This window comes from Homo sapiens, chromosome 19 (assembly GCF_000001405.40).
Source record: "Homo sapiens chromosome 19, GRCh38.p14 Primary Assembly".
Classification (NCBI taxonomy): domain Eukaryota; kingdom Metazoa; phylum Chordata; class Mammalia; order Primates; family Hominidae; genus Homo; species Homo sapiens.
Window position 1 is genome coordinate 2899878 of NC_000019.10, and position 19904 is coordinate 2919781.

General features: G+C 46.9%; 1 protein-coding gene across 3 annotated transcripts, besides 4 other annotated features; it reads left to right on the forward strand.

Moving 5' to 3' along the window:
• Positions 439 to 488: a silencer, noted in NCBI's record as "silent region_9816". NCBI's record gives its function as "represses an Ori minimal core promoter by ATAC-STARR-seq in GM12878 lymphoblastoid cells {active_cell/tissue: GM12878}" and the evidence as "EXISTENCE:reporter gene assay evidence [ECO:0000049][PMID:35858748]".
• Positions 668 to 1239: an enhancer, noted in NCBI's record as "H3K27ac hESC enhancer chr19:2900543-2901114 (GRCh37/hg19 assembly coordinates)". NCBI's record gives its function as "activates a minimal SCP1, AML or CMV promoter by ChIP-STARR-seq in naive H9 embryonic stem cells {active_cell/tissue: H9 hESC(naive)}" and the evidence as "EXISTENCE:reporter gene assay evidence [ECO:0000049][PMID:30033119]".
• Positions 668 to 1248: a biological region, named in NCBI's record as "H3K27ac hESC enhancer GRCh37_chr19:2900543-2901114".
• On the forward strand, positions 1051 to 18596 carry ZNF57 (zinc finger protein 57). 3 transcript variants are annotated; one of them, NM_173480.3, is made up of 4 exons: positions 1051 to 1171; positions 15645 to 15771; positions 16201 to 16372; positions 17047 to 18596. In NM_173480.3, exons 1-4 carry the CDS (start codon positions 1169 to 1171, stop codon positions 18410 to 18412), a joined length of 1668 nt encoding a protein of 555 aa, NP_775751.1. In that variant the 5' UTR covers positions 1051 to 1168; the 3' UTR covers positions 18413 to 18596. The 3 variants fall into 3 exon arrangements, with proteins under 3 accessions (NP_775751.1, NP_001306012.1, XP_011525984.1); NM_001319083.2 differs by lacking the exon at positions 1051 to 1171 and adding an exon at positions 7231 to 7282; XM_011527682.3 differs by lacking the exon at positions 1051 to 1171 and adding an exon at positions 7349 to 7367.
• Positions 1099 to 1248: an enhancer, noted in NCBI's record as "active region_13721". NCBI's record gives its function as "activates an Ori minimal core promoter by ATAC-STARR-seq in GM12878 lymphoblastoid cells {active_cell/tissue: GM12878}" and the evidence as "EXISTENCE:reporter gene assay evidence [ECO:0000049][PMID:35858748]".
• Positions 18597 to 19904: the final 1308 nt, after the last annotated feature.

Here is a 19904-nt window from a genome sequence, read left to right on the forward strand (position 1 = left end):
GGATCAGGTGACTCGAGGTTTGGTCCTTATTTTAGTGCAGGCTCAGATGTCGGGGGCGAGCCAAAGTGCAGGGGCCTGTGGGAAGGACAGGAGGCTGGGAAACGTTTGGGTAAAAAAATCAGGACACTGGCCGTGCGCGGTGGCTCACGCCTGTAATCCCAGCACTTTGGGAGGCCGAGGCGGGCCGATCACGAGGTCAGGAGATCGAGACCATCCTGGCTAACACGGTGAAACCTCGTCTCTACTAAAAATACAAAAAAATTAGCCGGCGTGGTGGCGGGTGCCTGTGTCCCAGCTACTCGGGAGGCTGAGGTAGGAGAATGGCCTGAACCCGGGAGGCGGAGCTTGCAGTGAGCCGAGATGGCGCCACTGCACTCCAGCCTGGGCGACAGAGCGAGACTCCACCTCAAAAAAAAAAAAAAAAAAAAAAAAAAAAATCAGGACACTGACAGCACGTGCTCCAGCACGGGGCAGGGCCTCCATGGGGTCCGCGCCCACGCGGGGCAGCGCGGTGACGTCACGGCTGAGGACCCCGCCCCACGAAGGGCTCACCCCACGCGACCCACGCCGCTCGCTCGCCCCTCCCCTCCACGCAGCACTCCGGCTGCTCCGTGGGGAAACTGAGTCTGGACTTCTCGTGCCCGTTCGGGAGAAGGACGCGGGAGGCGCGGCCGAGCTGCGGGGAGAGGTTGGGCTCACCCCGGGCCAGAGCGAGTTCGCGCAAACGGGAGTGTCCACCGCTGGCGGGTCAGCCACTAGCGTTGGCTACGCGCCGGTCACTCGGGCGACAGGAGGCGGGGCGGCGCGGAAGTTATCTTCCAATCAGGTGCTCCGGGGGCGGGTCCGGAAAACTGTCCAATCAAGGCACGGGGCGGACACCGGGAAGCGGATTGCAGGTTTGCAGTAGTGTCCAATCGAAGGCCCCAGGGGTGAAGGGGGCGTGTCCAAAACGCTGTCCGCTCAGAGCGTTGAAAGGGCGGGGGCTTAGAGATTGTCCAATCAGGGCGCCGCTTCCTGAGCTCCGAGGCCCCGAGGGCGGGACGTTTCGTCCTCCCTGCCGCGCGTGCCCTGCCTACCACGAGCGGCCCGGGAGTACCTGTACCTTTCAGCTGCGCCGGCCGCGAGGCCACGGAGAGCTCGCCTTGGAGAGCCCAGGAGCAGGGGAGACATGGTGAGTGCGAGGCAGGAGCAGAGCCAGGGGACGGTCGGAGCGACGGGAACCGGCTGGAACCAGAGTCCGCCGAAGTCTGCGGCCGGGATTGGCTGAGGGACGCGCGGGGCGGCGCAGGACTAGCACCTGGGACCCGGGGACGCCATCACAGCGGCCGGGCTGGAGGACTGGGGGCAGTTTGGGGGGACGGAAGGGGCGGCAAGGAGCTTGGGGGTAACTTAGGGGGAGGCCTGGGCAGGAGGGGGGCTGGAGGTAGTTTGGGGGGACGGTAGGGGCGGTCAGGGGTCAGGGACCAGTTTGGGGGGACGGCAAGGGACGGTCAGCAGGTTGGGGATGTTACGCGTGTCCGTATAAGAGGTCACCTGAGCAGGCTTAGTGTGAGCCACAAGGCTGTTTACTCACTTGGGTGCAAGTGGGCTGAGTCTGAGAAAGGACTCAGCAAAGGGTGATGGGATTATTATTGGTTTTATTTTTTTATTTTTTTTATTTTTGGGACGGAGTCCCGCTCTGTCGCCAGGCTGGAGTGCAGTGGCGTGATCTCGGCTCACTGCAACTTCCGCCTCCCGGGTTCAAGCGATTCTCCTGCCTCAGCCTCCGGAGTAGCTGAGATTACAGGCGCCCGCCCTCACGCCCGGCTAATTTTTGTTTTTAGTAGAGACAGGGTTTCACCATGTTGGCCAGAATGGTCTCGATCTCTTGACCTTGTGATCCGCCCGCCTCGGCCTCCCAAAGTGCTGGGATTACAGGCGTGAGCCACCGCGCCCGGCAATCATTAGTCCTTATAGGTTTGGGACAGGCATCGGAGTTAGGAGCAGTTTTTTTGAGGACAGTTGGTGGGTGTTACAAAGTACATTCTCAAGGGCGGCGACGATGTTTCAAAGTACATTCACAAGGGCTTGGGGGATGTATTGTCACAAGGGCTGGGAGGAATATTACAAAGTACCTTCACAAGGGCGCGAGCGTGTATTGTCACAAGGGCGGGGTACATTCACAAGGGCGAGGAGGACGTATCGTACAAAGTACATTCACAAGGGCGGGGGAATATCACAAAGTACATTATCACAAGGGCGGGGGGCTTGACCATGGTGCGGCCAGCTCAGAGAACCTTACAGGGGACAGCTTGGGGGGATGGCAAGGGACGGCCTGGGGGTCAGAGGCAGTTTGGGGGACGACCTCAGCGGTGGGAGTTAGCTGCCCTGGGGGTTTTGTTGCAGGGTATCACTAATGCTGTGAAAGCTTTATTCGGGCAGCCGGTGTCAGTAAATGTACTGTACTGTTCTCCTGTTTGGCTTTTTTCTTCTCCTTAGTGACAATAGGAAAATGTTCAAGTGTGTTTTCTGCCTTCTGGTCCGTCAGGATAACACCTGTTTATCGTGGGGTACAGGCTAAGCATGGCCTAAGGAAGTCTCTCAGGAATATTCTGTCTCCCACCAGAATTGTAGAGAAAGTGTGCGCAGTTCCACATCTTATAGCAGCTAGAGATGGATTAAAATGTTCATAAAAATAGTAGTTTTTCAAATGCCAAAGCAATCAGACAAAAAATAATAGTTATTCTTCCATACAAGGTGCAGAGTTTGCGACAGTGTGTGATCGTGTTCCATTTCAGTTCAGCTAGACATGAGATTAATGCAAATTCTGCAAAAACCTGTAAAACTGAGGCGTGTTCCATTCTGGTTAGTTTCCAGTTTGTCACCAGGAGTATTGCTTCACTGATCCATCATCTGTTTGCTGACTGGGAAAAGCAGTTTCTGGCCATGTAAAGTCATAAAGACTGCCTTGGAACTCCCTTCCCCCACTTACACAAGGGGTGGAAAGCACTGATTCTGCTGCATTCTCACTCTACGGGATGAGGGTCTTTGTGGCATTTAAAGTGTAGCACCTGGAGCAGGGAGGTGAGCCCCAAGACCGGTGACTCCAGCTGAGCCCACAGTTGAGCCTGCACTGGAGGCCGCTGAGGGTGCAGCGGGGTCTGGCTGGGCAGCCTCCACTTGCTCAGTCCTCCTGCCTCGTAGAACAGCCGCAGCGGGAACTGTTCATGCTGATTGAGGCTGCTGAGCATGGGAAAGACGATTGTCCTGGAGATGTGCTTGTGGGCGTTTTAGCCTTTCTGAGGTTGCACCTGTGCTGTCTTGGAGCCGTTTCTAAGCAGTGGGTTTAGTTTATGCTTTAAGTGTTGTTTTTCTTTTTTGGAGACACTGTGTCTCCCAGGCTGGAGTACAGTGGCGTGATCTCCACACATTGTATCATCCGCCTCCCGGGTTCAAGCAATTCTCCTGCCTCAGCCTCCCGAGTAGCTGGGATTACAGGCACTTGCCACCACGACCGGCTAATTTTTATATTTTTAGTAGAGACGGGGTTTCGCCATGTTGGCCAGGCTGGTCTCAAACTCCTGACCTTAAGTGATCCACCCTCCTCCGCCTCCCAAAGTGCTGGGATTTCAGGCGTGAGCCACCGCGCCCGGCCTGGATTAAGTTTTAATATAAACACCAGTGGCCTTACTGCCCGCATAAATAGGCCTCCGGCCTCTCTTCAACACCTGTGTGCTGCTCCCAGCGCTCATCTCTGTTCTGCCCCCAGGGTAACCACTGTCCTGATTTTTTTTTTCATTCTCTCTACCTTTACCATTTATTATTTATCACCATACAGAGTTTTAATTTTGCCTCCTTTGAATTTTTTTTTTTTTTCAGGCAGGGTCTTACTCTGTCGCCCAGGCTGGAGTGCAGTGGTGCGATCTCGGCTCACTGCAGGCTCCGCCCTCCGGGGTTCACGCCATTCTCCTGCCTCAGCCTCCTGCGTAGCTGGGACTACAGGCGACCGCCACCTCGCCCGGCTAATTTTTTGTATTTTTAGTAGAGACGGGGTTTCACCCTGTTAGCCAGGATGGTCTTGATCTCCTGACCTGGTGTTCCGCTCGCCTCAGCCTCCGAAAGTGCTGGGATTACAGGCGTGAGCCACCGCGCCCGGCCCATTCCTGGCTAATTTTTATATTTTTTTGTAGAGACGGGGGGCCTCGCTGTTGCCCCAGGCTAGTCTCAAACTCCTGGACTCAAGCGATCTGCCCTCCTTGGCCTCCCAAAGTGCTGGGATTACAAGCATGGGCCACTGCACCTGGCCTGAAATTTCAATAAGTGACTGTGACCATTAATGCACCGTGAATAGCAGCTCAAAAGGCTTTTCTGTGGTTTCTTTCCTTTGCGCACATGCTGGTGTCTGAGACAGTGGGTGACGCAGTTAGTTCAATCATTCCAGCGTTTGTCAGGCTTGGGTTAATTCAAGTGTGTTCATTTATTTTGTGTACTTATTTATTTTTAGAGACAAGGTCTTGTTCTATTGCCCAAGCTGGAGTGCAGTGGTGTGATCGTGGCTCACTGCAGTCTCAAACTCCTGGCTTTAAGTCATCCCCTCACCTCAGCTTTCCAAGTAGCTGAGACCACAGGTGTGCACCACCACACCCAGCCAAAGTTTTTTTTGTTTGTTTCTTTGTTTTTGTTTGTTTGTTTTTGTTTTTTTTGAGACAGAGTTTCGCTCTGTGGCCCAGGCTGGAGTGCAGTGGCACCATCTCGGCTCACTGCAACCTCCACCTCCCGGGTTCAAGCAATCCTCCTACCTCAGCCTCCCGAATAGCTGTGGTTACAGGCATGTGCCACCAAGCCTGGCTAATTTTTACACTTTTAGTAGACACAGAGTTTCATAATGTTGGCCAGGTTGGTCTCAAACTCTTGGCCTCAAGTGATCTACCTGCCTCAGCCTCCCAAAGTGCTGGGATTACAGGTGTGAGCCACACTGCACCTGGCCTCCCTCGTAGCTTACTGTCTGTGTGTGGGCATATGTGAGCACTTTCCATGCCTGGACGTTGTAAGAACTAACTTCTGAATGGGCTCTGCTCTTGTCATTCACAGTGAGATGTGCATTATGCCGACGATTGAACTTGCAGTTGATGTGGATGTTCCTTATTCTCCCATAGATAGCATCTCTCCTTGCCCAGGTGTTAAACTGCCCCTCGTTTCCAGCATTGTTGCAACGCTTGCTCTGTCATATATTCATGCACCATAAACACAGCTTCCCATCCTTTTGTGTTGGTCTATTTGTCCATCCTGACGATACCATCCTCTAATTACTATTTTTTCTTTTTTTGAGATGGAGTCTTGCTTTGTTGCTCAGGTTGGAGTGCAGTGGCACAATCTTGGCTCACTGCATCCTCCGTCTCCAGGGTTCAAGCGATTCTTCTGCCTCAGCCTCCCGAGTAGCTGAGATTACAGGCACATGCCAGCACGCCCAGTTAATTTTTAAATTTTTAGTAGAGATGGGGTTTCATCATGTTGGCCAGGCTGGTCTCGAACTCTTGACTTCAGGTGATCGCCCCCCCCCCCTCGGCATTCCAAAGTATTTGCATTACAGGCGTGAGCCACTGCACCTGGCCCTCCTAATTATGATTGTGATTTAAGTGCCTTGATGTGTTTTAGAATTGTCCCTCTACCGGCGGAGGCGGGCGGATCACGAGGTCAGGAGATCGAGACCATCCTGGCTAATAGGGTGAAACCCCGTCTCTACTAAAAAATACAAAAAATTAGCCGGGTGTGGTGGTGGGCGCCTGTAGTCCCAGCTACTCGGGAGGCTGAGGCTGGAGAATGGCGTGAACCCAGGAGACGGAGGTTGCAGTGAGCTGAGATTGCGCCACTGCACTCCAGCCTGGGTGACAGAGCAAGACTCTGTCTCAAAAAAAAAAAAAAAAGAATTGTCCCTCTACCTTGTTCTGTAGGAAACCTGATTGTTCTTAGACATTTGCCTTTCATTTCAGTTCTTAGAAGTAGTTTTTCATAAATTCAAAAACAAGGAAAAAAAATGAGGCTGGTTTTGGATGTAATGGAATTGTATTCAAACCCCAGATCGGTCTGAGAGATCTGCTGACGTGGTGGCATTGTTTCCTTCCTCAGTCCGCGTGCCATCTCTCATTTCTCTCTCCTTTGATGTCATTCGGTAGTGTTTTATAATTGTTCCATGATGATTGTTTTATATCCTTCATTAGATATAAAATTCCTCTGTTGCCCAGGCTGGAGTGCAGTGATGCAATCATGGCTCACTGCAGCCTCAAACTCCTGCACTCAAGCGATCTTCGGCCTCAGCCTCCTGAGTAGCTGGGACTGCAGATTCATGCCACCACACCCAGCTAATTAAAAAAAATTTTTATAGAGCTGGGGTCTTGCTGTGTTGCCCAGGCTGGTCTCAAATTCCTGGGCTCAAGCGATCCTCCCGCCTCAGCCTCCCAAAGTGCTGGGAGGAAAGGCGTGAGCCATGGTGCCCGGCCCTGAGTGTGAATTTTAAAAGGCTAATGCCCAAGCAGTGTATCTTAGTAAGGACAAGCAGGCCTGAAGGAGCTTTGGAACACTGAAGACAGAGCAAGAAAAATATGCCAGTGGGGCTCAGATCAAGTATTTTAGCAATGTTGATTATTCTGTTGTCATTGTGGAGTTGATTGCACAGCCTTGCCCGTCTACCCATATGCAAGAAGCAGCCCCTTTGCCGAAACCGCCCCCTCCCTAGCTGGCCAGTAAAGAAACAGTCCAAAGCCACACGGTCATCTGCTGCGTGGCTACCAGGGAGCGTCGTCCTGGCTGTGAAGCTTCCAGACAGTCACTGTCTGCTGTGTGTGGTTAGAAGGACTTGGACATCCGTGTTGTGTGCGCACAAGACTGTCCTCGGGGGATGGGCCAGAGGGCCCAGGTTTGCCTCGGTGCCATAAGTATCATTTCCATTTCAGGAAGGAGGTTCTGTGGACCCGTGAGTGTCACCACCGGAGGCATCAGGGCAGCTCCGGGCAGAGAGGCACAGGGCCCGTGGGAGCCTCGGTCTCTAGTGGGCTGTGGAGGCCACATGGGAGGACAGTGTCTTGCACCAGATCCCCATGGCCAATTCACCGCCACTGGGACTGGTCTGAGATTCCCTGAGGCTGGAGCGGAGGCTTCGAGAACCTCTCCAGAGGAGTCCAGGCGGGGGGTGGGGGCGGGGCAGAGTGGAATCCTGTCGTCATTGCATTTTCCACAGAATCTAGAACCTCTGTTGTCCCACAAGTAGGCTGATTTCTGATCGCACAGATGGGTCAGAGTAAAACCTGTAAGTGAGGAATACGTTCTCTCCAAAACCCAGATAGACCTAAAAAGTGTTAGGCTTGCTCTGGCCGTGGGTGTTGATAAATGAGGTATGCTTCCTGCCTGGGCTGCTGCTTCAAATAACGACCAGAAATATGAACAAAGTGGTGGGGACTTGAGTCTAGTGGGGTGCAGCAGCTCGCCCCACCTGGAAAGTTCTGCAGCAGGCCCACGAGCCTGTCCCCGTGCCTGGCTCTTCCGAAAGCGCAAATTAAATCTCTAAAATCTAAAACCCTCTCATCCCCAAGGCCAGCTACCCTCTTGCACTTCATAATGTCATAGGAATTATTTTTCCCCCATCCTACACTTCAGTAGGATTTTCATTATCGTTATGTCACAGAGAGATCCATTCTTTTCCATTGGTTCGTTTGTCCATCCTTCTGCTAATACTGTACTGGCAAGATTGACAGCTCTTAAATCCTTGCCCTGTGTTAGGTAAGCCTTCACCCTGTTCTTCGGAAAGTTTTGGCTATTTTTAGACTCTTTTTCTCTGTTAGATTTGGAAAGTAGTTTTGTCAAGTCCTAAAAAGTCTCATTAAGAGAGGATCTCACTCTGTTGCCCAGACTGGAGTACAGTGGTGTGATCACAGCTCACTGAAACCTCCTGGGCTCAAGTGATCCTGCTGCCTCAGCCTCCCTAGTAGCTAGGACTGCAGGCACATGCCATCATGCCTGGCTAATTTTAAAAATAATAAAAAAATTGTAGACTGTGTCTCCTTATGTCGCCCAGGGTGGTCTCAAATTCCTGGCCTCAAGCAGTCTTCCTGCCTCGGCCTCCCAAAATGCTGGGATTATGGGCATGAACCACCTCACAGGGCCCCAATCAAGATTTGTTTCTCCATTGAAATCCTTTACTAGCCTTAAGTACTTATTTAACTTTGGATTTTCCCATAGTATGTATCAGCTTTTAAAAATTAATTTTCCAACTATTATGAAGTAGAAACATAATGCAATTTCTTGGAATCTTGGTAAAAATCTTTTTCTAGGATTATCTCTTTGTTCTGTTGGGGTTTTATGTGCATAATTCTTAGAAATTTGCAAAAAGACAAGTTTATGTTTTATAATTCTTGTATATTTCCTGGTGGTGCTGGAACTAGTATAACGTTGACTAGAGGTGAGGTCATGGGCGTCTTCATTTTGTGTATCATGTTTTTGAGGAAGACAGTGAACTTCACATTCTTTATGTTTTTTAAAAACCAGCTTTACTGACATATAGAACGTACAGCCATTTAACGTGCACATTTCATTGTTGTTGTTATTTTTTTGGTTTTTTTTTTTTTTTTTGAGACGGAGTCTTGCTCTGTCGCCCAGGCTGGAGTGCAGTAGCGCGCACTCGAAGCTCCGCCTCCCCAGTAGCTGGGACTACAGGCACCCGTCACCACGCCCGGCTAATTTTTTGCATTTTTAGTAGAGATAGCTAGGATGATCTCGACCTCCTGACCTCGTGATCCGCCCTCCTCGGCCTCCCAAAGTGCTGGGATGACAGGTGTGAGCCACTGCGCCCGGCCATTGGTTTTTACAGTCACAGAATCCTGCAACCAAGACCACAGTCAACTTGAGGACATTTCCATCACCTCACGAAGAAACCCCCAGACCCTTCAGTTATCACTCTCCTATTGCCCCGGAGCCCCTCCACCACCCTAAGAAATGACTCATCTGCCTCTGTCTCTAGAGATTTGGCTGTTCTTGACATTTCGTATGTTGTTTCTCTTTTTTTCCTTTTTATTCTTTTGTTCTTTTGACATTTCATATGAATGGAATCCTAATATGTGTTCTTTTCTGACGGCTTCTCTCACTGGGCATGTTTTCAGGGTCATTCATGTTTTAGCCTGTTAGAGCTCCATTCCTTACATGGCTGAGTCATATCTACTGTGTGGGCTGTACCACATTTTGTTTATCAGTTGATCAACTTTGAGTTGTTTCCACCTTTTGGCTATTGTGAATAGTGCTGCTGTGAACATTTGGGTACAAATGTTTCTTTAAATGTTTTCAAATTTCTTCAGTATATATTTAGGAGTGGAATTTCCATTTGATAATACTATGTTAACTTTTTTTCCTTATAATAGATTTTATTTTATTTATTTTTGTTTTTTTTTTTTTTTTTGAGACAGAGTCTCGCTCTGTCGCCCAGGCTGGAGTGCAGTGGCGCGATCTCGGCTCACTGCAAGCTCTGCCTCCTGGGTTCACGCCATTCTCCTGCCTCAGCCTCCCGAGTAGCTGGGACTACAGGCGCCCGACACCACGCCCGGCTAATTTTTTGTATTTTTAGTAGAGACGGGGTTTCACCATGTTAGCCAGGATAGTCTTGACGTCGTGATCCGCACGCCTCGGCCTCCCAAAGTGCTAGGATTACAGGCATGAGCCTCTGTGCCTGGCCGGTATCTTGTTTTAATTTGCATTTCCCTGATGACATGATGTGGAGCATTTTTTATATACTCATCTGCCATCTATATCTTCACAGATGAGTTGTCTTAAGGTCTTTAGCCTCCACACCTGGCTAATTTTTTCTTAATTTTAGAAATGGGGTCTCACTGTGTTGCCCAGGGTGATGTGAAACTCCTGAGCTCAAGCAATCCTCCCACCTTGGCCTCCCAACATGCTGGGATTACAGGCATGTGCCACCACACCTGGCCTATTTGTACATGCTTTACTCTACATCGCACTCTCCTGATGACTACAGCTCTCCAGAAAGCCTGGAAAATGCATAGTGTCAGTCTTCCAACTTGAACCTTCCCCTTCAATACTGTGTTGGTATTTTGAGTCTTTTACCTCTCCATATAAACTTTACAATCAGTTTGTCAATATCCACCAAATAACTTGCTGGGATTTTGATTGGGATTGTGTTGAATCTATAGATCAAGTTGGGAAGAACCAATGTCTTGACAATATTGGGTCTTCTATACGTGGACATGGAATAACTATTCACTTAGTTCTTTGATTTCTTCTGTCAGAGTTTTACAATTTTCCTAAGATCTTGTGCACATTTTGTTAGATTTATACCTGTATGTTTTATTTTAGGGCAATGCTGATTTAATTCCAGTATTGTCTAAGAGCATATGATGTACGATATTCTTTTAAACTTGTTAAGGTGTTTTATGTCCCAAAATACAGTCTAGGTTGAGGAGTGTTCCACGTGAGCTTGACAAGAATGTGTTTTCTGCTGTTGTTGAAGTTGTCTACAGACATTCATCATTGGGGGTGCTGTTGAATTCAACTCTGTGCTTATTGATGTTCCACGTGCTTGATCTGTTTCTTTTCTTTTCTTTTTTTTTTTTTTTTTTTTTGAGACAGAGTCTCACTCTGTTTCCCAGGCTGGAGTGCAGTGGCGCGATCTCTGCTCACTGCAAGCGCCGCCTCCTGGGTTCACGCCATTCTCCTGCCTCAGCCTCCCCAGCAGCTGGGACTACAGGTACTCCCCGCCATGCCCAGCTAATTTTTTGTATTTTTAGTAGAGACAGGGTTTCACCATGTTAGCCACGATGGTCTCAATCTCCTGACATCGTGATCTGCCCGCCTCGGCCTCCCGAAGTGTTGGGGTTACAGGCGTGAGCCAATGCGCCTGGCCTAATTTTTATATTTTTAGTAGAGACGGGGTTTCCCTGTGTTGGCCAGGATGGTCTCCATCTCCTGACGTCGTGATCCGCCCGCCTCGGCCTCCGGAAGTGCTGGGATGACGGGCGTGAGCCACCGGGCCCGGCCTGGTTACTGTTTTCTGTTTTTGTTGCCCTGGTTCGTTGTTCCTTATTTTGTCTTCCACTCTTTTTCTGCCTTTTTTGGTTTTGATTGCATGTTTTGTGTGATTCCATTTTTTCTCCTTTCTTAGCAAGTCAGGTATGCTTCTCTTTCCTTTTTTTAGTGATAGCCCTAGAGATATTTATTTATTTATTTGGCAGGGTCTTGCTCTATCAGCCAGGTTGGAGTGCAGTGGTACAATCATGGCTCACTGCAGCCTTAATCTCCTGGGCTCAAGCCATCCTGTTACCTCAGCTTCCCAAGTAGCTAGGACCACAGGGTATATGCCTCCAAGCCCAGCTTATTTTTAAAAACTTTTTGTGGCCGGGCACGGTGGCTCATGCCTGTAATCCCAGCACTCTGGGAGGCCGAGGTGGGTGGATCACCTGAGGTCAGGAGTTTGAGACCAGCCTGGCCAACATGGTGAAACCCTGTCTCTACAAAAATACCAAAAAAATTAGCTGGGCATGATGGCGGGTGCCTGTAATCCCAGCTGCTCGGGAGGCTGATGCGGGAGAATCTCCTGAACCCGAGAGGCAGAGGTTGCAGTGAACTGAGATTGTGTCATCGCACTCCAGCCTGGGCGACAGAGGGAGAGTCTGTCTCAAAAACAAAAAAAAACGACAACAAAAAAAACTTTGTAAAGACAGGGTGTCACTATGTTGCCCAGACTGGTCTTGAACTCCTGGCCTCAAGCAATCCTCCCGCCCCAGCCTCCCAAAATGCTGGCATTTCAGGCATGAGCCACCGCACCCAACCTAGAAGTTTTCATTACATGTCTTCAGGCTCAGAGTCTTTCCTCAGCCACACCCAGTCTACTCATGTGTCCATTAAAGTCATTCTCCATTTCTGTTACAGTGCTTTTCAAATCTCTCCCATGGCTTTTTCATTCTTAGGATTTCCACTTCTCAGCCTGTATTGCCTGTTTTTGCATGTTGTCTACTTTTTCCATTAGAGCACTTCACCTGTTAATCATACTTGTTTTAAATTCCCAGTCTGATAATTCCAATGTCCCTGCCATATATGAGGGGTTCTGCTTTATCTCTTCAAGCTCTGTCTTTTGCCTTTTAGTATGCCTTGTCATTTCTTTCTGGAAAGCCAGACGCAATGTACTGGGTGAAAGGCACTGAAGTAAATAGACCTTTAGTAACCCAGTGGTGAGATGTGGGCAGAGGGCAAGGATTCCCTGATCCTTTGATGACGTCTCAGTCTATTCTTGAGCCTGTGCCCCGCGACACTGAACTTCACAAGTGCTTCTCAGTTCTTCCTTCTCCTCTCACTTGGCGGGACAAGATGAATAGAGGAAGATGATGGGGGATACATCTCTTTCCACAGGTAATTTAGACACTGATGAAACCCCAACAGGTGAGGCTCTGATCAAATAGTTTTAAGGGAAAGGCCCGGTGAGAAAGAGCAGAAATATCTAGCCTATTTCAAAATCATTATTCTTCTCCTCTACAAGACTGGGCCCCCTGAGATTGCTAACTCAGACTTGGGCCCGCTGTGCCCCCAGCAATTCATCAGTTACAGCTCAGGGTTTCCCATCTAAGTAACGGTTCCCACAGAGGCTTCTGTTCATGGTTGCGTGTTCTGGTAAGTTATGACTCTCTGTATCCGCCTCTCTCTTCAGTTTGAGGGGGCAGAGCTTGCCTTGTGACATCAGTTCTCTGAAGGATGGAAGAAGAGCTTGTTGAGGTTTCAGTTTGTTCAGCTTTTTGTTACAAGGGAATAATAACTTCCAAGCTCCTTACATGCTGGACCAAAAACTAGAAGTCATTTAACTTTTAAAAAGAACTGCCACACTGTTTTCTTAATTGGTTGTACCATTTTACATTCCCACCAGCAATGTGTGAAGATTCCTGTTTCTCCATATCCTTGCCAAAACTTATTTTCTTTTTTAGTTTTTTATTTTACCCATCCTAGTGGGTGAGAAGTGGTATCTCCTTTTTGTTTTGATTTGCATTTCTTTGATGACTAATTACTGACAATGTTTATTTTTCTTGGAGAAATGTCTATTTACATCCTTTCCCCACTTTTTTGTTGTTGAGACTGAGTCTTGCCCTGTCACCCAGGCTGGAGTGCAATGGTGCGATCTCGGCTCACTGCAACCTCTGCCTCCTGGGTTCAAGCGATTCTCCCTCCTCAGCCTCCTGAGTAGCTGGGATTACAGGCATCCGCCACCACGCCCAGCTAATTTTTGTGTTTTTAGTAGAGACGGGGTTTCACCATATTGGCTCAGCTGGTCTCAAACTGCTGACCTTGTGATCCACCCACCTCTAAAGTGCTGAGATGACAGGTGTGAGCCACTGTGCCTGGCTGCTAAATCAGTTTTGTTTGATCTTTTCAAACAACTAGCTTTGGTTTCATTGATTTTTCTCTATTGTTTTACTGTTCTCTATTTCATTAATTTGCCTGTAATATTTATTATTTCCTTACTCCTAATTGCTTAGGTTTAGTTTTATTTTCCTATTGTGTCGAGGTGGACCACGTTAGGTTGTTGATTTGCAATCTTTAGGATAGGTATTTATAGCTATTAACTTCCTTTATATAAGTTTTGGTATATTATGTCTTTATTTTACATCCATCTCGAAGTATTTCCCTTTTGATTTCTCTTTGATCCATTAGTTATGGAGGAGTGTGTTAATATCCACATATTAGTGAATTTGCCAAATTTTCTGTATTAGTTTCAGATTTCATTTCTCATTCCATTGTGGTCAGAGAACATACTTATTTCTGGTTTTTTTTTTGGTGGGGGGAGACTAACTCTCACTCTGTCAGTGATGTGATCAGAGCTCACTGCAACTTCTGTCTTCAAGCAGTTCTCGTGCCTCACCCTCCCAAGTAGCTGGGAATCCACGTGTGTGCCACCATACCCAGCAAATTTTTGCATTTTTAGTAGAGACAGGGTCTCACTATGTTGCCCAGGCTGGTCTCGAACACCTGAGCTCCAGCGATCCATCTGCCTTGATCTCCCAAAATCCTGGGATTACAGGCGTGAGCCACCGCGCCCGGCCAATATTTTGTATTTCTATTGTTTAAAATGTGTTGAGGTTTCTTCTATGGCCTAGCAAAGGGTCTCTTTTACAGAACGTTCTTCTGCACTTGAGAAGAATGTGTGTTTTGCTGTTGTTGGGTTCAGTGTTCTGCAGATGTCTGCTATGTCTAAATGACTTATAGTGTTCAATTATTTTATTTCCTCGTATTTCACCTAGATGTTCTCTCATTAAAAAGTGGGGTAATTGATGATGCTGTGCTCAACTAAAAAAGAAAAAAGAATGGGTGTTTATGTTTCAACTTGTATTTTTAATTATCCATTTCTTTTATTTTTATTTATTTTTTTGAGTCTTGCTCTGTCACCTAGGCTAGAGTGACATTCTTGGCTGGAGAGCACAATCTTGGCTCACCGCAACCTCCACCTCCTGGGTTCAAGTGATTCTCCTGCCTCAGCCTCCTGAGTAGCTAGGATTACAGGCACGCACCACCATGCCCAGCAAAATTTGTATTTTTAGCAGAGACGGGGGTTTCTCCATGTTGGTCAGGCTGGTCTCAAACTCCCGACCTCAGGTGATCTGCCTGCCTCGGCCTCCCAAAGTGCTGGGATTACAGGCGTGAGCCACTGCACCCGGCCACTACTTTCATTTTCATTAAGTATTTTCTAATGAAACCTTTCAGTTGTTTAACTTTTTACTGTTTGTTGGTCTCTTTAGGGGTTACTGTATTGTCAATGCGAGGCTTATCAGATGAGCTTCGGGTTTATATTCATCGCTCGATTCCAGTGAGATACAGAAATGCTGCGTGTGTAGCTCTATTCCTTCCTGCCCCTCCAACTTCTATGGCAATATGAATACATGCTACATCCATGAATATTATATGCCAAAACAGTGCGTTTTAATTAGTACTTTACCATCTGTAGTCATGTCCCTTTGCTTAAATATGCCTTTGCTCCCTCCCACCCTCCTCCTCTGTGCTGTTATTGGCAAATAGGTATTCTTATGTGTTATACATCCAACAGTGCTTTCCAAACATATTCATACAGTTGCCTTTAAAATAATTTAAGAAAATAAAGGGGAATAAAGGGGGAAAACGGATACAATGTTGCCTAGGGCTCCAGGCAGACAAAGACAGGAATTCTTAAGTCACATTGTTAGAAACTCCCTGGCCAGCCTCAGGCCCGTCCATACAAAGATCCCCTCACCAGGCAGGGGATTCCAAGGACTTACCATTTTCTGCAGTAGCTGGTGGAAGGCTTTTCCGAAAGTCCTATGAAATGTGCATCGTTTGGACAACCGAGGCCTGCTGCGTTATGCAACGTTTCAAATGGAAAAGTTACTTCATTTGCATAGCATTTCTCTAGACCCTCCTGGTAGAGGAAAATAAGAGCAGTCGCAGTAAAAAGGCAGAGATAAGTTCAGACTGATAGTGGTGCCATGAAGTTTACTAGGAAGTGATTGTGAATAAGTAAAAGATCTAACATTCGCGTCATAGAGGAGGTGTTGGGACACCACAGAATCTTGTTTGAATTTATGAATTGAGTCCAGTTCCCCAGTACTTTCAGTGTCTCCAATCCTCCTGCACACCTGTGTGGTTTGTCTTAGGACTCAGTGGTCTTTGAGGATGTGGCTGTGGACTTCACCCTGGAGGAGTGGGCTTTGCTGGATTCTGCTCAGAGGGACCTCTACAGAGATGTGATGCTGGAGACCTTCCGGAACCTGGCCTCAGTAGGTGAGGATGGCATCATTCCTTCCCTTGGTTTTTAATGAACTCATTTCTTTCTCATCAGTTCTGTTGCAAGATGTGAAATGTGGGAAAGGACTAAGACAGACATGTTCACAGCCACCATGGACCTAGAATCTAGTCATTATTCCCTAACAGTGAAAACATGTGTGAAACAGATGTTATTTCTGTCTTGGTTTAAAGGACTTGAAGTTCCTTTAGTGTCATTAGTAGGGGTATAGATTTCACTGGTCATTTAGGATCACAGAGTGGTTCCTTGTTTGATACCTGTGACTTACTGTGTTTGTGAAATACCTAACATTTTGACCCCTTATGTCTGTTATTGATGAGGTCCTCAAAATGCTAAACTCCTCAGTGTCTTCCTTTGCTTAATACGTGTCTTATTCCTTTTGAGATTTGTTTACTTTTTTGTTGCAGATGATGGGACTCAATTTAAAGCCAATGGGTCAGTTTCTCTGCAGGATATGTACGGGCAAGAAAAATCTAAGGAACAGACAATACCAAACTTCACAGGAAATAATTCCTGTGCCTACACTTTAGAAAAAAATTGTGAAGGCTATGGCACTGAAGACCACCACAAAAATCTGAGGTGAGTTGCACTCACAAGAGAAAAATCCTTGTATGCAATTAAATATATATCTAAGTATTGCTCCAAATATAAGCATTGCTCCAAATTTGTTTATTCCTCAGAATTTTAACCAAAAAAAAAAATTTGTATTTGACTAAGACATTGAGAATTTGAAACATAATTGTTAGAAGTAATTACAGGGGGCCGGGCGCGATGGCTCACGCCTGTAATCCCAGCACTTTGGGAGGCTGAGGCAGGCGGATCACGAGGTCAGGAGATCAAGACCATTCTGGCTAACATGGTGAAAACCCGCCTCTACTAAAAATACCAAAAAAAAAATAGCCGAGCGTGGTGGCAGGCACCTGTAGTCCCAGCTACCTGTGAGGCGGAGGCAGGAGAATGCTGTGAACCTGGGAGGCAGAGCTTGCAGTGAGCTGAGATTGCGCCACTGCACTCCAGCCTGGGTGACAGAGTGAGACTCCATCTCAAAAAATAAATAAATAAAAAGAAATTACAGGAAAACCCCATATATAATAAATACTGCATTAAAAAATATGTCTCTTCAAACAATTCAGAATAGAAAAACTTCACGTATACTGAAATGTAGTTAGACATTATTTCTAATACTTGTTAATACATCTCAACACATCATTACTAAACATACCATACATAAAAATGTCTCTCATTTTTAACAGAAATCATATGGTGGACAGATTCTGTACACATAATGAAGGTAATCAATATGGAGAAGCCATCCATCAAATGCCAGATCTTACCCTGCACAAGAAAGTTTCTGCTGGAGAAAAACCATATGAATGCACCAAGTGCAGGACAGTCTTCACGCATCTTTCTTCTCTTAAAAGGCACGTCAAGTCTCACTGTGGACGAAAAGCACCTCCAGGTGAGGAATGTAAGCAGGCCTGCATTTGTCCCTCACACCTACACAGTCACGGAAGAACTGACACTGAGGAGAAGCCGTATAAGTGTCAAGCATGTGGGCAAACTTTCCAACATCCTCGTTACCTCTCCCACCACGTAAAGACTCACACAGCAGAGAAAACCTACAAATGCGAGCAGTGTCGGATGGCGTTTAATGGGTTCGCAAGCTTCACTAGACATGTGAGAACTCACACAAAAGACAGGCCATATAAATGTCAGGAATGTGGGAGAGCCTTCATTTATCCCTCGACATTTCAAAGACACATGACAACACACACTGGAGAGAAGCCCTATAAATGTCAGCACTGTGGGAAAGCCTTCACTTACCCCCAGGCTTTTCAAAGACATGAGAAGACGCACACGGGAGAGAAGCCCTATGAATGCAAGCAGTGTGGGAAAACATTCAGTTGGTCTGAAACCTTGCGAGTCCACATGAGGATCCACACTGGGGACAAACTCTATAAATGTGAACACTGTGGGAAGGCTTTTACCTCTTCCAGATCATTCCAAGGTCATTTGAGGACGCACACTGGAGAGAAACCTTATGAGTGTAAACAATGTGGGAAAGCCTTCACTTGGTCCTCAACGTTTAGAGAACATGTGAGAATTCACACGCAAGAGCAGCTCTATAAATGTGAACAATGTGGGAAGGCTTTTACCTCTTCCAGATCATTCCGAGGTCATTTGAGGACGCACACTGGAGAGAAGCCTTATGAGTGTAAACAATGTGGAAAAACCTTCACTTGGTCCTCAACGTTTAGAGAACATGTGAGAATTCACACGCAAGAGCAGCTCCATAAATGTGAACACTGTGGGAAGGCCTTTACCTCTTCCAGAGCATTCCAAGGTCATTTGAGGATGCACACTGGAGAGAAGCCTTATGAGTGTAAACAATGTGGAAAAACCTTCACTTGGTCCTCAACCTTACATAATCATGTGAGGATGCACACTGGAGAGAAACCTCACAAATGTAAACAATGTGGGATGTCCTTCAAGTGGCACTCCTCCTTCCGGAACCATCTGAGGATGCACACAGGACAGAAATCCCACGAATGTCAGTCATACTCAAAAGCCTTCAGTTGCCAAGTCATTCTTTCTAAAACCAGTGAGAGCACACACTAAAGAGAAATTCTATAACTTTAATGGGGTAACCTCACATTAATTCATGTATAATGCTCCAGAAAATTCACACCAGGAGAGAAATCTTACAAGTATGATATTGTCTTTGTCAATACCTCATTTGTAAAACAGACCCATTAGTCGTGAATTTCCAGCTCTTTCAAAAATAAATGTTTATGTGAGAAAATAATTCTCTAAGTCCTCTTTCAGCTATAGTACCTAAGTTTTAATAGTTAAGTGTTTTGTCTCTTAAATATTTTCATTTCGAACTGTATTAGACCCATGGTGATTTGAAGCATACTTTGAACATGACACAATTTTTTTTTTTATTTTTTTTTTGAGACAGTCTTGCTCTGTCACCCAGGCTGGGGTGCAGTGGTGCGATCTCCACTCACTGCAAGCTCCGCCTCCCAAGTTCACGCCATTCTCCTGCCTCAGCCTCCCAAGTAGCTGGGACTACAGCCACCTGCCACCACGCCTGGCTAATTTTTTGTATTTTTAGTAGAGATGGGGTTTCACCGTGTTAGCCAGGATGGTCTCGATCTCCTGACCTCATGGTCTGCCCACCTTGGCCTCCCAAAGTGCTGGGATTACAGGCGTGAGCCACCATGCCCGGCCAAACATGACATAATTTTTATAGTTTCTATATTTTTCTGTATGGGATCATTACAACAATAAAACTTTGGTATTTCTTACTGGCCTACTGCTACAGATAGTGGATATCACTTACCTATTTTATATATTGTACCTTACCAAATTTTTTTTTGCAAAACCTGGTAAATATGCAGAGTTCTCTATAAAGTATAGTCTCTAATCATCTTTTGCAATTTGTTTTTCCTCATTTCTCACTGGGAGTTAGACAGCAGCCTTTGAATTAGGAATGGGGACCTACAAAACAAGAATGAAATCTGTAGATGGTTTTGTTACGGATATATGTGTAAGGCTGGGAACGACATTTCCCTGAATGTCTTTCCTTTATGGCACCAAGTTAAAATCTGCTGATTTTCTACTGTGCATGAGGTTTGGCAGTCAGGACTAGAGAAGTCATTACCCGCTTTGTAGAGCCAGCATACTCAGAGACATAAAGGTGGCACACAGGCGCACCATGCACACAGCCTTCTGGATCATTGTACTCATTCCTGCCACTGTTAATGAAGAGTGTCTCTACAACAGACACCAGCTGCCTAACTTTCAGCCAGACATCTCCATGAGCTCTCCCAACATGAAGACATTTAGTGTGGATTGCTACAACACCTGCCACGTCCACCAGGCCACTGATTCTGACTGTCGTGGTGATCATCTCTGAAGCTAACTCCCTCCTTTAGGTCTTACCTTATTTTTATTTTATTTATTTATTTTTGAGACATAGTCTTGCTGTGTTGCCCAAGCTGAAGTGCAGTGGTGTGATCTCGGCTCACAACCTCTGCGCCTCCCGGGTTCAAGCGATTCTCCTGCCTCAGCCTCCCAAGTAGCTGAGACTACAGGTATGCACCAC

Excerpts from the sequence above, each read along its gene's own strand:
- ZNF57 (NM_173480.3), top strand. Across the intron at positions 15,772-16,200 it reads CCGGAACCTGGCCTCAGTAG|ATGATGGGACTCAATTTAAA; the intron begins GTGAGGATGGCA and ends TTTTTGTTGCAG. Across the intron at positions 16,373-17,046 it reads GACCACCACAAAAATCTGAG|AAATCATATGGTGGACAGAT; the intron begins GTGAGTTGCACT and ends CATTTTTAACAG.